This window comes from Homo sapiens, chromosome 5 (assembly GCF_000001405.40).
Source record: "Homo sapiens chromosome 5, GRCh38.p14 Primary Assembly".
Lineage (NCBI taxonomy): Eukaryota > Metazoa > Chordata > Mammalia > Primates > Hominidae > Homo > Homo sapiens.
The window spans coordinates 150,000,695-150,016,492 of record NC_000005.10 but is presented as its reverse complement, the minus strand read 5'-3'; the positions used below and the strand labels follow the sequence as shown (position 1 = coordinate 150,016,492).

The window sequence follows — 15,798 nt, the reverse complement described above, 5'->3', positions numbered from 1 at the left end:
CCAATTTATCAAGAGGGCACAACAATCCTACATGTTTACATACTTCGCAAGAGAGTCAAAATTTGCGACACAAAAATTAAGAGAACTGTAAGAAACAGACAAATCTACAAGGATAGTTAAATGTCACCTCCTTTTTTTTTTTTTTTTTTTTTGAGACAGAGTCTCACTCTGTTGCTCAGGCTACAGTGCAGTGGCACGATCACAGCTCACTGTATCCTCCAACTACTGGGCCCAAGCAATCCTCCCACCTCAGCCCTGAGTAGCTGGGACTATAGGTGTGTACCACCACACCCAACTATTTTTTGCTTTTTGTAGAGACGGGGTCTCCCTGCCTTGTCCAGGCTGGTCTTGAACTCCTGGGCTCAAGCAATCCTTCTGCCTCAGTCTCTCAAAGTGCTAGGGTTACAGGCACATATCACCGTGCCCGGCCAGATGCCTTCTCTTATAATTGATAGAACAAGTAGACAAAATCAGTAAGGATATAAAAGGGTTGAACGTTATCAATCAACTTGACCTAATTAGATATGTATAGAACATTCCACCCAATAGCAGACTATGCATTCTCTTCAAGTGTACATAACATTTATCAAGACAGACCACATTCTGGGCCGTAAGACAAGTCTCAATAAATTTAAAGGGATTCAGTTTAAATAAATCAAAAAGGTCAGGCCACAGTGGAATTAAATTATTAATCAATAACAGAAAGATATCTGGAAAATCCCCAAATATTTGCAGAGTAAATAATACGCTTCTAAGTATCTCATAGGTCAAAGAAGTAAATTAGAAAGTATTTGAATTGAATGAAAATGAAAACACACCATATCAGAATTTGTGGAATGCCACTAAAGCAGTGCTTAGAGGGAAATTCATAGCAGTAAGCACCTACATTAGAAAAGAAAGAAAGAGCTGGGCACGGTGGCTCACGCCTGTAATTCCAATACTTTTGGAGGCCAAGGCAGGAGGATTGCTTGAGCCCAGGAGTTCTAAGACCAGCCTGGGCAACACAGAGAGACCCCCATCTCTGCAAATAATTTGAAACAATTAGCTGGGTGTGGTGGTATGCACCTGTGGTCCCAGCTACCTGAGAGACTGGGGCAGGTAGGTGGATCCCAGGAAGTCAAGGATGCAGTGAGCCATGATTGTGCCACTGCACTCTAACATGGGCAACAGAGTGAAACCTTATTTACCAAAAAAAGAAAAGAAAAGAAAAGAAAGGTTTTGAATCAATGACATCAGCTTCTACCTTAAGAAACTAGAAAAAGAACAAATGAGAACTACCAGGGCAGTGAAGAACACACGTGACCATGGCCATCAGCTGGATAACGACTGTCATCGTGCCCTGCTCACCTTTGAAGTCCTGCTGGTTCACAGACTGGATGGCCGCAATACATTCTCCTGTATCTCCATATCTGTCCCCCTTTGGCTTTTGTTACTAACTTTAATGACCACAACATTTAGGCCAAAAAGGGGCAATCATTGGTGGTTTGGTATTCGCAGAGACTTCTGCCAGTTTCTGCTTGAAATTTTCCCATTTTTAAGAGAATATGGGAACATTTCATATGATCTCCATCAGGAAGATAGCGAAGGTGCTGAAGAAACATTGGTTCCAGAAGCTCCGAAAATTGCTCCAGTGTTTGGGAAGACCAGGTAGTTTTAATCCCTGGGAAATATGTTCCCCCACCTCCCAAGTTAAATATTGATATGCCAGATTAAACTCCTAGAGAGGGCCCATACACAGACTCCACCTTGCCTTTGCCTCTTGTTCATTCATACCAAACCTGGAAATGGAAACAGGCACCAAACACTGTCATCTCATACCCTGTTTGAGATTGATGCCTCATCAGCATGCATCATAAATGGAGACTGTTTCAGCATGTGGGTGTGTGTGGTGTGTACCTGGGTAAGAGAACTTGCTTTCCACATTCGTGCTTTAGATGTAGCTGGGGGCAGTAAGTTGAACTGTTTTAGTAGGTCCTCAAAAGGAATAACTACACAGTGGTTTTCTTTAAAGTGCTACTGTACCTATCGAAAGTATCGTTTAAAAGTATTTTTATACACTGCTAGTACAAAATTGTATTTCAGATTGTGCCTGTTATGACATAATAGCAAACGTAAAGAATTCTCTGTTTATAAACCTCACAGTTTGTTTAAACTGCATATTGTCTATTGCAGATGTCTTTAAAGATTGCATAAAACAATATGTGCCTGGTGTGGAGCTTACCCAAGTACTAGACATGAACATAGGGACTGCAAATCCCATGGGTGTTAATATTTAGGTGTTAGTAACCGAGGTCTGCACTGTGTGAAGGTCTCTGGTAGTATCCGTTAGTAGAGGGAGCAGCCACCGCCCTTGCGAACTTGTGACATGCTCTAGTGTAGTACCAGGCCATAAAGTGACACTGTTGTTTAGCACCCTGAATTTTTCCACACAGGTAGTAACTGTCCAGAAACAATCAAAATAAGCAACAAGTGGTTTGTCCATTTCTAAGAATCTTAGAATATTAGTTGGTTGTAATGTAAAGCATTACCTGTCACTGGAAAGCTGGAGAGAGTGGCCTTAACCAGAAGTGGCCAACAATCAGGTATTATTTTAAGGTCTAAACTTTTTCATCTGTCAGCAATAGGGAAACAACAGTTCAAATTATCTTTGTAGATAAGTACATTGTTTATTACAGGGTAATAAGGGAATGTTATGAACAACTTTATGTCAATAAATTTAACAGCCTAAATGAAATGGACAAATTCCTTGAAAGCCAAAATACCAAATGCTCACTCAAAGAGACAGTCTGAATAGTCCTATACATATTTTTAAAATTGGGCTTGCAGTTAAAAACCTTCTCACAAAGAAAACTCCAGGCCCAGATGACTTCACTGGTAATACTACCATTTAAGGAAAAGAACTGAGGTGGAGAAAATACTTCCCAAGTCATTTTAAGAGGCAAGCATTACCCTGATATGAAAAGTGGACAGAGACTGTATAAGGAAATTCTGAGCCAAATTCTGAGCAAACTTTTTAGCAAATGAAATCCAACAATCTATGAGAGGGATACTACATCACTGTCAAATGGGGTTTGTCCCAGGAATACAAGGGTGGTTTAAAATTTGAGTAATAGTGAAATTCACCACCTTAACCAACTTCCGGAAAATTCTTATAATACTCTCAATAGACACAGAAAAAGCATTTGAAAAAATCCAACATGCATTCCTGATAAAAGCTTTCAGAAAATTAGGAATAGAGGGAACTACCTAAACATGATAAAGGGCATGTAGGAAAAACCTATAGTTAATATACTTAATGAAGAAGGACTGAATCCTTTCCTCCTTACATGAGGACAAGACAAAGATGTCTGCTCTTACCACTTCTATTCAGCATTGTACCAGAAGTCCTAGACAATATCATAAGGCAAGAAAAAGAAGGAATTCAAATCAGAAAGGACATATAAAACTGTCATTACTTGTAGACAGCATGATTAACTTTGTAGGAAACCCAACAGCATCTACAAAAGTTACCAGAACTAATAAGTGAGTTAAGCAAAGTTGTAGAATACAAGCCCAATATACAAAGCAATCAATTGTATTACGATATACTAGTTGTAGGCAATCAGATATTGAAAATTTTCTAAAAATGCCATTTATAATAGTGTGAGAAAAAGATAAACAGGGATAAATCTCAGCCCCGATGCTGAAAAAAATATCAACTGGGAATCAAGAAACGAATCCAGTCTGACTTGTCTTGTAACCTTGAACAAGTCCTTTCTCTCCTATGGCCCTTTTCCTAATCTGTACGATCACAGTATTGAATTAGATCAGTGGCTGCTCATTTTCCTAAATCATGTATGCTTACGAAAATTTTATAAAAGTCATGGAATCCATTCCAGGAAAAAAGTTTGTATAAAACTTGAGGTGAGTTCATGGATCCCATGGAGATCTATCTACAACCCCCTCACCCCCATTAAGAACATATGGACCACATAATCCCTGAAATCTTTGCCAGTCCTCGCATCCTGAGGTTCTAAGACTTTTAGAAATCTTCTTGGTCCTACAACTGGTAGCTCAGAAAGAAAAAAAGACAAATCTACTTAGAAAAAAAATGCTTATGACACCCTAATTGCCATCAATCCCCCACATACAGTACTGACCAGTTTGATGGAGGTGGGGTTCTCCACAACCGAGTAGGCAGGCAGAGGCAACATGATGAACTGTGTGGCTGGTGCAGAGGAGCTACTCTCACTGGAATCCTATGGGCAATGAAGAGAAGGACAGTTTCACTGAAACAGAGTAATAAAGAACACCCAGGCCACTCAACACTGGAAGCCTGGATTAAGTTTAATAACAGACAGTGTACTCATCCCAATGTGCTTATCAAAAGGAATGAATTTATGATTATCTCAAAAAGTTTAAGAACAAAGAGAAAACTATTTCCACAGGAAGTGTGCTATGTTTATTTTATAGATGAGAAAACTGAGGTTCTAAGACATTTAGGACTTCTAAGATCACATAAGCAGTTAGTGAGAGAATCCAATTCTAACCCTTTCAAGTGTTCTCAGCACCCTATTTACCTGCTTTAAACAGGCTAGTGGCGGCCGGGCACGGCGGCTCACGCCTGTAATCCCAGCACTTTGGGAGGCCGAGGCGGGCGGATCACCTGAGGTCAGGAGTTCAAGACCAGCCTGGCCAACGTGGTGAAACCCTATGTCTACTAAAAAAAAAAAAATACAAAAATTAGCCAGGCGTGGTGGCGCATGCTTGTAATCCCAGCTACTTGGAGGCTGAGGCAGGAGAATCTCTTGAACCCGGGAGGTGGAGGTTGCAGTGAGCCGAGATTGTGCCACTGCACTCCAGCCTGGGTGACAAGAGCAAAACTCCGTCTCAAAAAAAAAAAAAAAAACCAAAAAAAAACAACCAACAACAACAACAACCGGCTAGTTGCACGCTTCATTATCATAAACAGCACTGAGGCAACAAATAAGGATTTAGCCCTGGGACAGATTGCAGGGGTACTTGTTCTCTTCTGCCCAGGCCATAAGGGCTACAGCAAGCTGGTCCTCTTAGCCTGCACAGAAAGACTCCCATCTCTGAGAATGCTATCCTCTCCAAGGTTATAGAGGACAGGTTATATATTATACTATGGCATGGTAGCAGTTTCTCTCCACTTCCACTTCTAGGGGATGAGGTTGTTGGGATCACTAAAAGTGCTGTTTTCCCCTCAACTGAGAATGACACTTAGGCCACTGTAGAAACTTGCTTCCTCTTTCTCAGAGGTAAGTCCCATCAACCTGGCCTTGAAGATAACTTTTTTCTTCCTACCCCATCTGAATCCAGGAAGACCTGGGTACAGGTCTTGTGTGAAAATTCTTGTACACAGCTCAAGGTGCCATTGTTTGCTGAAATAGTCTTCAGGGAGCCAGTGTGATGGACAAGCCTATAATCCTGGCTACTTGGGAGGCTGAGGCAGGAGGACTGCTTAAGCCCAGGAATGCAAGACCAGCTTGGGCAACAGAGTGAAATCCCATTTCAAGAAAAGGAAGCAGTCTTCAGAAAACATAAAATCCTGACTGATACTAAATTGCCTGACAGATCCTAGCTTTGACTCGTGGATAATTCAAATACAATTTGCAGCTTTCTTGCTAATGTAGCTTATGAACCATCTCATGTGAAGAAAATTCTGGCTAAGCTGGGCAAAGAGTTGGTAAGAGTGCCTGAGAAATTTCAAGGAACTCTGGAGTGAGCCCAGGGGCAAGACACATTCAAGAGAACTGCAGTATCAGTAAGTGCCACACCAGTACTCTTGATTACCACTGCTCTGGAATCACACTGTATGGTGCTAGCTGCCCTTTAAGTAACTCCAGACAAAGCCAAAGACTTCAGTACCAAAGCCACTTACCCTCATGACTGTTACCACTGATACACTCTCCCCAACCTGGGGGTGGGGCACAGCCAGGCTTCCAGTGGGGAGGTCTGGTGAGCCATTCACCAAGGTCTCTTCAATTACCAGGCTTGTCTGGTAAGGTTGGTGGCTCTCCCCTACTTCTAGGGAAGCGTCCTCTAGGAGCACATCCTGGCTGAGGATCTCTGAGGTGGCAATCTCCTGTACAGCACCTGACTGGGTAAGGGCTCCCACCTCCTCAGCCAGGGCCTCCACAGCCAGGCACTGCTCTGCCATGCCTGCATGGCTGGGCACTGTCTCCGGGGCAGTGTTGGACACAAGAGGAGGTCCTTTCGGGGACATCTGGTTCTGAGCCACACATAGCTCTAGCTGAGGGCAGCTCCGGTCCTCCTGCAGGCTGCTCTTGGGGATGATGATATAATCTGAGCGTGGGAGGATCTTGCGGAAACCTGGGATGTCCGGAACCACAGCAGTCAGTGCAGAGAGCTTAGAGTTCTGAGGATGAGGAAGCCAGGAAGGGGGAGACAAGCAGAGATAAATGGACTAAGACCACATGGAGAGAGAAAGATATATATATATGTGTAAGTTCTTTTTTTTTCCTGCAAAAGGGACTGGAAAAACTCTACTCTCTTGACCTAATTCAGATAAGGTCAGCCCCTGTCAACAGCAGTGTCATCTTCATTTGAATCACACTTTAGCCAATGTAGCTTATTCACTCAGTCACACAGGAAACAGCATGGACTGAACTCTGGAAAGAGCACTGGTCTTGCCATATGAAACTGTGAGCTAGAACCTGAGGTCTGGCATAGCCTTGAGCAAATCCTTTCCCCTCCTGAGGCCTCAGCTGCCCCATCTGTAAAACAAGGGAGCTGAATCTGGCAATTTATGAGTTCCTTTTGAGCTCTGATACTTTAGGATTCCAAAGCAGCATAAGATTCAAACATTAGAATGTATAACGCTCAATAAAAACCCAAAAAGCATAAAATACAAGTTAACAGGCTAAGATGAAACTCAAGGCAGCAAGTAAGCATTCTGACCTCACTGGTTTTCCCCAGACTTACAAAGAAGAGGATGAACAGATCACAAAGCTAAGGGTCTTCATTAGAAGGCTTCGTGACAGAAAGTATATATAGAAGGGGTTATGTGACAAGGTCCTGAATATACTACGGAAAAAAATGTGAATATTAACAATGACCCAGTACCTTCAGGTTTAGAAAATGTTTTCAAACACATTATCTGATTTTATCTTAAAAACAACACTATTATGTTAGATAAGATTATTATTCCCATTTAACAAATGAGAAAATTTAGGATGAAACTCAGGGAGGTAAACTTTCCCTAAACACAAAATTAGTAAACAGTAAAGCTGGGACTCCAGGCCAGGTCTTCTAAGTATCAAGAAGGCCAGGTACTAAAAAGCACAGTCCTGAATGGCTAATTGGCACCAAGAAAAAGTCATTTATGTTTTATTTTTTCAATTTAAACTTAAAGGCACCCAATAAGGAAAACAGAAAAGTTCAAAGTGAACAGTTAAATGAGACCTAAAATTAAACAGAACAAAAAAAAATTTCAGAAGTATCTTTTAAAATGAACACTAAAGTCAACTACAAAAGGATTCTTCAATAAATCAAAAGCAAGAAGTCGATGAGACTACTTAAGGCATAAAGGAAGCACTCAGAAATGAAAAGTTAAAAGCAGCACTCAGATGAAACATAAAAGCAGATGGACTGAATCTTTTATGGAGCCTTTATTGGAGAGGTAATGGGGAAATGGCATTCTCAAGCCACCCTTTGAAGCAGCCATGTTAGGAGAACAAGACTAAATGGTGGCAAATACACACAGCATGGCCTGGACTTAACAAATCCAAGCACAAAGAAACCTGGAAGGCCTGAATGATACTCATTTTATAGACTAGAAGGCATATCACTGGAGCCTGCACTTGGCAAGAGACCTGAAGGGCTGCTAAGGAGGACAGCCTGCCACAGGGCTCTGACAGGCTCCCAAGGTATGTGGGCATTGAGGGTCTTCCCATCACACCAGGCAGTCTGGGAGAGGTCAAACACAGCACATAAAGCTTCACTCAGTCTTACTACATTCCAGGTACTCAATAAATGCCACTTTTCCTTATTATATAGTCAATGAATGTTTAATCTACTAAAGGGTAATATTTATTATGTCAGTATTATCAAGAATTCAGCTAGGTGATTTACATTACCTATTTTAAACATTATGAGAAGAGACTACTGCCATTTTACAGATGAGGAAACCAAGACTCAAAAGTTAAAATGGTCACTCAGCTATTATCAGAACTAACCTACTCATGTTCTTGGTGGCAGTGGTAGAGATAGTGGTAGATAGAAATAAGCATGTAAATAAGGAAGAATCATTGCAGATGATTTAAATTTTTTTAAAGTCTTGATAATGATCTACATTAGTGTGTAGTTTTAAAAATCAAATCACTCCAGGATTACGTAGGATTTTATCATGCACAAAAAGATTGCTGATTTGTGTGTGTGTGTGTGTGTGTGTGTGTGTGTGTGTGTGTGTGTGAAACAGAGTCTCACTCTGTTGCCCAGGCTAGAGTGCAGTGGCACAATCACGGCTCACTGCAACCTCCACTTCCCCGGCTCAAGTGATCCTCCCACATCAGCTTCCTGAGTGGCTGGGACTACAGGTGTATGCCACCACGCCTGGCTAATCTTTTCCTATTTTTTGTAGAGATAGAGTTTCGCCAACTTGCCCAGGCTAGTCTTAAACTCCTGGGCTCAAGTGATCCTCCCACCTCAGCCTCCTAAAGTGCTGGGATTACGGGCATGAGCTACCACACCCAGCCTAGACAGCTGATTTTATTATAATAAGGAAACCAAAGGGAGTAGATAAGCTTTTCTTAGACTCCATCTCCACTCCACTATAGGGATTATTTCCCAGATTCACTGTTAATAAACAAATCACCTAGAGGAGGGAGCAGAGAGTAGCATCTCCAAGCCTGTAGGTAAGACAAAGCTCTCCCAGAAAGAAGAATGCCAGGCCAATAAGCACAAAATAATTTAAATGGCAGTAGCTGATGAGCTCCAATAAGGGAAAATACAACCTGTTCTGCTATAACGTAGTTGTTGCTGTTGCTCTACATTACCAAAATAGAAGTTACAGACAACTGTTTCTATTGAAATAAGGAGTTAAGGATAAAAGGTTCCAGCCTGCAACAGCAAGGTTATTCTTCCTGCAGGAATTTCAGTTTAAAAAAACAGCAGTTTATGCCATGACAGGGATACTCTCAAAAAAACAAAAACCCAGCAGTTTAAATAGCTGTCAGTGTATTTTGTTACTGTGAACTAGAAATAAGAAAATGCTGACAGACATAATTCTAAATGCTTCCTTGTTAGTCCTTTAACCCAAGCACCCAAAGCCTTGGTCTCCTCCACCATCTTTGGCTTTACTTGCATTTTTGCTTTCAGCATAGTTTCCAACCACCAGTGCTAACAAAATAATGTGGTACTGTATTACACAAGCAGCTCTATCTACCTCTAAACATGCAAACCTTATTCCTGATTATAACTGATAGCAGTTAGTACAATATACTACATTCAATCTGTAATATGAAAACTCATGGCGTAGGAGAAATGCCTATATAAACTACTATATTAAAGTTTACTACATTAAAGCTACTATTTATAGTAACTATGAGGGGCTCCAAGTTACACTAAAATTTAGAAAAGGAACCTAAGGCTCACTGCAGAAAACACAAAAAAATGTCAGCTCCACGTATTGCTGCAACCGAAGAGGACAAGAGAGTGCAGGGCATTATCAAAATGGAAACAAGCAAGCCCAGAGTCAAGAAGGATAAAACGATGAAACTTTTCCCAAAAAAAGAAAAGGAAACAGAACAAGGGGCTTGGTTTTCCCAAGGCCTTCATCACTGAACCAGTGGAAAAAATAGCTGGAAAAAAAAATTACTTACAGGATCCAAACCTTCCTTCTCTAGTTTGGCTTTCTCCAAGTAGTAACTCCTCTCGGCCACGCTGAGAAGCCTCCAACTCTCACTAATCTTCTTATTGATCTCAGACTGAGGGAGGTGGGGGAGCTCCTGCTGCACTTTCAGGTAGATGTCGTAATAGTACAGAAGGTAAGCAGACCTGAGGAAGCAATGACTTCTTCAGGCTTTCCCAGTAATGGCAATGCTGGCAGAAATCCCTCCACTTCCCACTCCCCATCCCTCGACCCAGGACTTCATTCAACCAGTAAGTACTACTATGCTAAGATATGGGTAGTCAAGAGGTTGATAAAACCTAGCTTCTCATTTCTAAGCATTTATCTAAATAGGGACTGAAAGTCAAGCAAACAAACATTTAAATAACATCCTCAGATGGTGTTATAATAAGTTATAATCTTATTCCTGATTATAACTGATAGCTGTCAGTACAACACAAATTATATTACATTCAATTTGTAATATAAAAACTCATGGTATAGGAGAAATGCTTATATAAGCTACCATATTAAAGTTACTACATTAGAGCCACTATATTACAGTCAGGAGTAACTACCCAGGAAGATAAGGGGCTCCAAGGGAGGAGGGGAAAATGAATGGTAAAGATAGCAAGTGGCTGTTTCCCCTTCAGAAACCTGGAAGCAAAGGCTCATTTGACTGGCTTTCCTAAAGATCGCTTTTTGTGCAGGAATGATTTTAAAGCAAAGATAGATACAGGTGTCCTGTCCTGTCATTCCACTCTCAGGGAAAGCTTCCTCAAGGGGCTGGTTATCACTCACACTCCGTGCTCCTCTACGCAGCCTTTGGTCACCAACCTGGTCAATGGCACCTCCCCAAGGATGAGAGAGGGAAGCAAGCAGACCAATCAAAATGACCAATGCTGGTAGTTTCACAAGTTTGAGGTATTCACAGTCAAGAGTGAAGTTAGAGCTACAATTTGGATATTCTGTACAGATATAATTGGTATTATTTCTTTTTGTGTGTTTTTTTTCTTTTTCTTTTCTTTTTTTTTTTTTTTTGAGAGGAGTTTCGTTCTTGTTGGCCAAGCTGTAGTGCAATGGCACAATCTTGGCTCACCGCAACCTCCGCCTCCCAGATTCAAGTGATTCTCTTGCCTCAGCCTCCCAAGCAGCTGGGATTACAGGTGTGCGCCACCACGCCCGGCTAATTTTGTATTTTTAGTAGAGACGGGGTTTCTCCACGTTGGTCAGGCTGGTCTCGAACTCCTGACCTCAGGTGATCCACCCGTCTCAGCCTTCCAAACTGCTGGGATTACAGGCATGAGCCATCACGCCCAGCCTTATTTCTAATTTTGTAATTTTATTAATGCTTTGTTTTAAATGTTTAAATAACAACAATGGCATAATAATAAATAATGTAGCTCTTTTGTACCTAGCTTCTACCATCAGTATGGTACAATTTCCTGTGACAACTTGAAAACAAAAGCAAAGTCTGGCCAGTAATGGCAATGCTGGCAGAAATCCCTCCACTTCCCACTCCTCATCCCTCGACACAGGACTTCAATCATAACACTCTTTTTCAAAGAGTCTTAAAAGTTTTCCTCAATGCAGCTCTCCAAGCAACTTCTGTTTATAAATGCTAGCAGCAACCAAAATGTGTTGGCTAACCTGGGTTTCTTTGTCTTTTCTCCATGTATTTTATACTTTTTCTTCTTCTTGGGTGGCCCAGGAGAGGTGTAACAATAGGCTTCCTCAATTTCCTCCATCACGACAGTTACCTCAGTACCATCATATGATGCGTCCATGGCTAAAGGAAAGGAAAGTCAAAATAAAGTTTCCAGAATCTCCCCTAAGAGGGGCAGCAGCTTCCTGATCAAATAACCCCTTACCTCTGCCAGTGCCTTAAGGCTTAGACATTTCCCAAACCCAATATATCCTAAGAAGCACCTGGCTTGGTTGTTTAACACACAAGATTCCAGAGCTCCACTTCAGCCCTCCTGGAGCAGAATCTCCCGAGGGTATGGAAATCCACATGCTTAACAAATGCCTCAGGTGATTCCTCAGACCGGGCAAGTTTGTGACCACTGCCTTAGAAATACTTTTCACTTATATTCATGGGATACAGTACCCACCCACCCCTTTAACACAAAGATTTATTAGCCCCAAATTATAACAATTCTATATGGAAACAGGTTAAAAAAAAATGCTTGGCCAGGAATCAGAAGTTCTGGCCCATTCCTCCTATGTTTCATCAACTTAAGCAAATCCCTTCATTGATTCACTCAAACATGTAGTAAGGGCCTGTATGTAAAAGATTTCTTTATACTCTGCCAGCTTGTGCAATTTTGGTCAGGTCTTTTAGCTGCTTTTTGTTCAGCTTTCTCTCTCATGTATAAAAAAAGACATGTCTCAACTACCTTCCCACAGATTTATAGTGATAAGACTCAAAGGATACAATAGACACAACTCTATTTAAAAATAATTGGATGGGCGCAGTGACTCACGCCTATAATCTCAGCACTTTGGGAGGCTGAGATGGGAGGGTTGCTTGAGGCCAGGAGTTTGAGGCCAGCCAGCTTGGTCAACATAGTGAGACCCCATCTCTATTAAAAAAATAAAAATCTTTTTTAATTAAAAAAAAAAAAAGAAAATAGTCAAGTGCTATGCAAATGAAAAGGGTTTGTTTTTGGGTTTTTTGTTTTTGTTTTTTGAGACAGGGTCTCACTCTGTCACTAGAGAACAGTGGCACACTCTGGGCTCACTACAGTCTTGACCTCCTGGGCTCAGCAATCCTTCCACCTCAGCCTCCTGAGTAGCTGGGACTACAGGTGATGTCATCACGCCTGGCTAATTTTTTGGAGAGATAGGGTTTTGCCATGTTGGCCAGGCTGGTCTCAAAATCCTGGACTCGGGCGATCTGCCCACCTTGGCCTCTCAAACTGTTGGTATTACAGGCATGAGTGGGATTACACTGTGCCCTGCTGGGTTCATTCCTAAAGTCAGGTAATTGGCAGAAAAAAAAATGGAAGAGTTCATTAAGTTTTTTTTTTAATTTTATATAATTTAAAAAATAATAATAGAGATGAAATCTCGCTATGTTGTCCAGGCTGGTCTTGAACTCCTGGGCTCAAGCGATCCTCTTACCTCAGCCTCCCAAAGTGCTGTAATTACAAGCGTGAGCCACCACATCTAGCCTCTGTTAAAGACTATTATCTGTGTCTGAGATGCTTAACAACCTTCCCAAGGCCACCAAGCCCAAGCAGGGACTTGAGAGATAGATTTTTAACTCAAAAATCCAACTCCCTGGGCCTTCTTTCATTATGCTACACTGCTATCCATCTCTACTGGCAACCCTCCAAACCAGCACTGTTCAATAAACTCTGATGATGGAAATGTTCTACATCTGTGCTGTCAAATATAGTAGCCACCAGCCACATATGGCTATCGAGCACTTGAAATATGGCTAGTGTGACTGAAGAATTGAATTAGTTTTATTTTTAAATTTATTTATTTTTAAGACAAGGTCTCACTCTGTCCCCTGGGCTGCAGTGCAGTGATGAGATCCTGTCTCACTGCAGTCTCCACCTCCCAGGCTCAAGTGATCTTCCCACCTTGGCCTCCCAAGTAGCTGGGACTACACATGTGCACCACCAAGTCTGGCAAATTTTTAAATTGTTTGTAGAGATGAGATCTCATTATATTATCCAAGCTGGTCTCAAACTCCTAGGCTCAAGCAATCCTCCTGCCTTGGCCTCCCAAAGTGCTGGGATTACAGGCATGAGCCACCACCACACCTGGCCAATTGTAATTAACTGAAATAGCAACATATGCTAGGAGCTAGAGACAGCACAGATCTAAACAGTCATCTGACCAACCAACATCAGCTCTCTGGTGCTGGGCTAAAAAACAGAGAATCTACTAACAGCTTTTATGTCTAGGAAAAGAGGCATAAAAAACTTAATAACCAGTTCAAGAAGAGTTAGTTTTTTTTGTAGCCAAGTTCTAAATTGGACTTTTACCACAAGTCTCAATCCTTGGAGGGAGAAAGGCTCACAGAAACCACTTGAATTTTACAAGAGGAAATAACATAGTTGCCCCTGAAAATCTGTCAGGAGGAAATTTAGAATTCTGGGAAGAGGCAGTTGTGGTGGTAAATATGGGACTGATACGTGCAGTACAAAGCCCACACACCTCTCATTTAGACCTCACTCCACAAATAAGGTATAATGAGCACTGCATGTGGAGTCAAGAGACCTAAACTCTAACCTTATGATCTCAGAGAAGTCTATTCCACATCCTAAATTTCAACTGTTTCTACTGTGAGAAAAGGATGAACCCAGTGGCTCCTAGTCTTTTGGAGGCAAGAATTCTTTTGACAATGTTGCGAAAGCTTAAAAAAACAAACAACTACAACAACAAAAAACCTCTCCTAGAAATTGCAGACACACTGTATTTCACCTATAATTTTCAGGATATACCCCAGGTAAAGCACACATTATTCCTTAGGTTCTTCCTAGTTCTCTGTCATCTCTAAATGATTCCTCTTCCTATTAAAAACAAAAACTAAACTAACAAAGAAAAACAAAACAAAAACCTACATTCTAACTGCCATAGTGCAACCCAGGAAGAGAACACAGTCTACAACTTGGCTGGGTAAGCAATAGGCCAGTAAAGGATAAGGGAAGCAGTAGTTCAAATCAAGGCTACGTGGGGACTGCGCTTTTTTGCCCTGAATTGACTTCTGGGCGGCTGAAAGCCTTGTGGAGAAGGGCAGTAACTGCAGGAGAGCATCTGTAATGAATGGCATATAGGGTACTAAGCACCCTGCGCAAAACGGGTTAGGAAACACTCATTACAGCCACCTTGGGCTGAGGGCAGGAAGACAACACCCTACGGTTTTGTTTGTTTTATTACCCTGTTCTAAGCCTGAGTACAAGTTTGTTATCAGACTCGAGGCAGCAGTATAGCAATGCAAAAAAAGGCAGGACAATTTAAGGTTAAAAACGAAGGGCTCTAGAGGACAGAAAATCCGGGTTCTAGTACAGACTACACCAGTCGCACCAGCACGGGGACCTCTGACCTTAAGCAATCTACTTACCCTAAGTCTCCGTTATTTCATCTGTAAAACAGAGTTAAGGTCAATACCTGAAATATGCGAGACACTTTCTCTGTCCCATCAGATCCTCCTTGGAATCTCACGAGATTGCCTTTGAGGGCTCAGCCATGGGCCACAGTTTGACTCTGGGCTAGCTCCTTTCCCTCATTCTGGGTCATGAATGAAGCAAGAGCCAAACCAGACAAAGTCTTGGTCAAGCTAAGACGTCTGGGACATCCGAATGTCCCATACGGATTGCGGAAGGAGGACACTAAGGCTCAGTGGCCCTACTTTGTGGAAGACTCAGTAGAGGCTCAGAGAGCCGCAGCATCCAACTCGAGGTCGCCCAGCGGCTCGGCGCGGCCCTCGAAGGCGGGACTTACCCGGAGGAGCGTGCAAGCTGCGCCGCTCACATTCCCGGAGGCGCTTGGCCCGGCGGCTGGACGAGGGGGATGGCTGGCGCACTCGCGCTCCCCGCTGTCGGCGAGAGGCGGCTCCAGTCGTGACAGCAGCAACAAGGAAGTGGAGGCGAGGGCTCGCGCGCGCATCCCGGGGGCTGAAGGAGCCCCGGCCCCGCGGCCCCGCCCGGCGACACACGGCGCGGAGTCGCGACAGCCCCTCTCGCTTCCCCTCCTCGGAGTCGCGATATGGGGTCCTGAAGGGCAAGAATAGGAGCACAGGTTCGCTCCGCAGGCTCCTCACCGATGCCTGCCGAGGGCCCCGGGGGTCAAGCCCCGGGGAGCTCGAGGAAGACGGCAGGGACACGGTCGTCACCGAGGCACCGGTTTGGCGGCTGCACCGGCAGTAGCGGCACACCACGGATCGCCAGGGAGACCCGTCCCGGCGGCCCTCGCGGCGCACCGGAAGC

The 15,798-nt window shown here is 42.8% G+C and overlaps 1 protein-coding gene across 3 annotated transcripts in view, besides 1 other annotated feature; it reads right to left on the bottom strand.

Moving 5' to 3' along the window:
• The window catches only part of HMGXB3 (HMG-box containing 3), a 52,390-nt gene extending 36,636 nt beyond the window's left edge, over positions 1-15,754 (bottom strand). For 2 of the 3 annotated variants that reach the window (NM_014983.3, XM_047416963.1), the window contains exons 1-5: positions 15,314-15,754; positions 11,504-11,642; positions 9,846-10,020; positions 5,885-6,382; positions 4,140-4,238 (exon numbers count right to left, since the gene is read on the bottom strand). In NM_014983.3, the coding sequence (NP_055798.3) occupies positions 4,140-4,238; positions 5,885-6,382; positions 9,846-10,020; positions 11,504-11,640 (909 nt within the window). In that variant the 5' untranslated portion in view covers positions 11,641-11,642; positions 15,314-15,754. The remainder of the gene's footprint in view (positions 1-4,139; positions 4,239-5,884; positions 6,383-9,845; positions 10,021-11,503; positions 11,643-15,313) is intronic. The other variant, NM_001366501.2, reaches the window with a different exon arrangement.
• Positions 14,860-14,939: an enhancer, noted in NCBI's record as "active region_23394". NCBI's record gives its function as "activates an Ori minimal core promoter by ATAC-STARR-seq in GM12878 lymphoblastoid cells {active_cell/tissue: GM12878}" and the evidence as "EXISTENCE:reporter gene assay evidence [ECO:0000049][PMID:35858748]".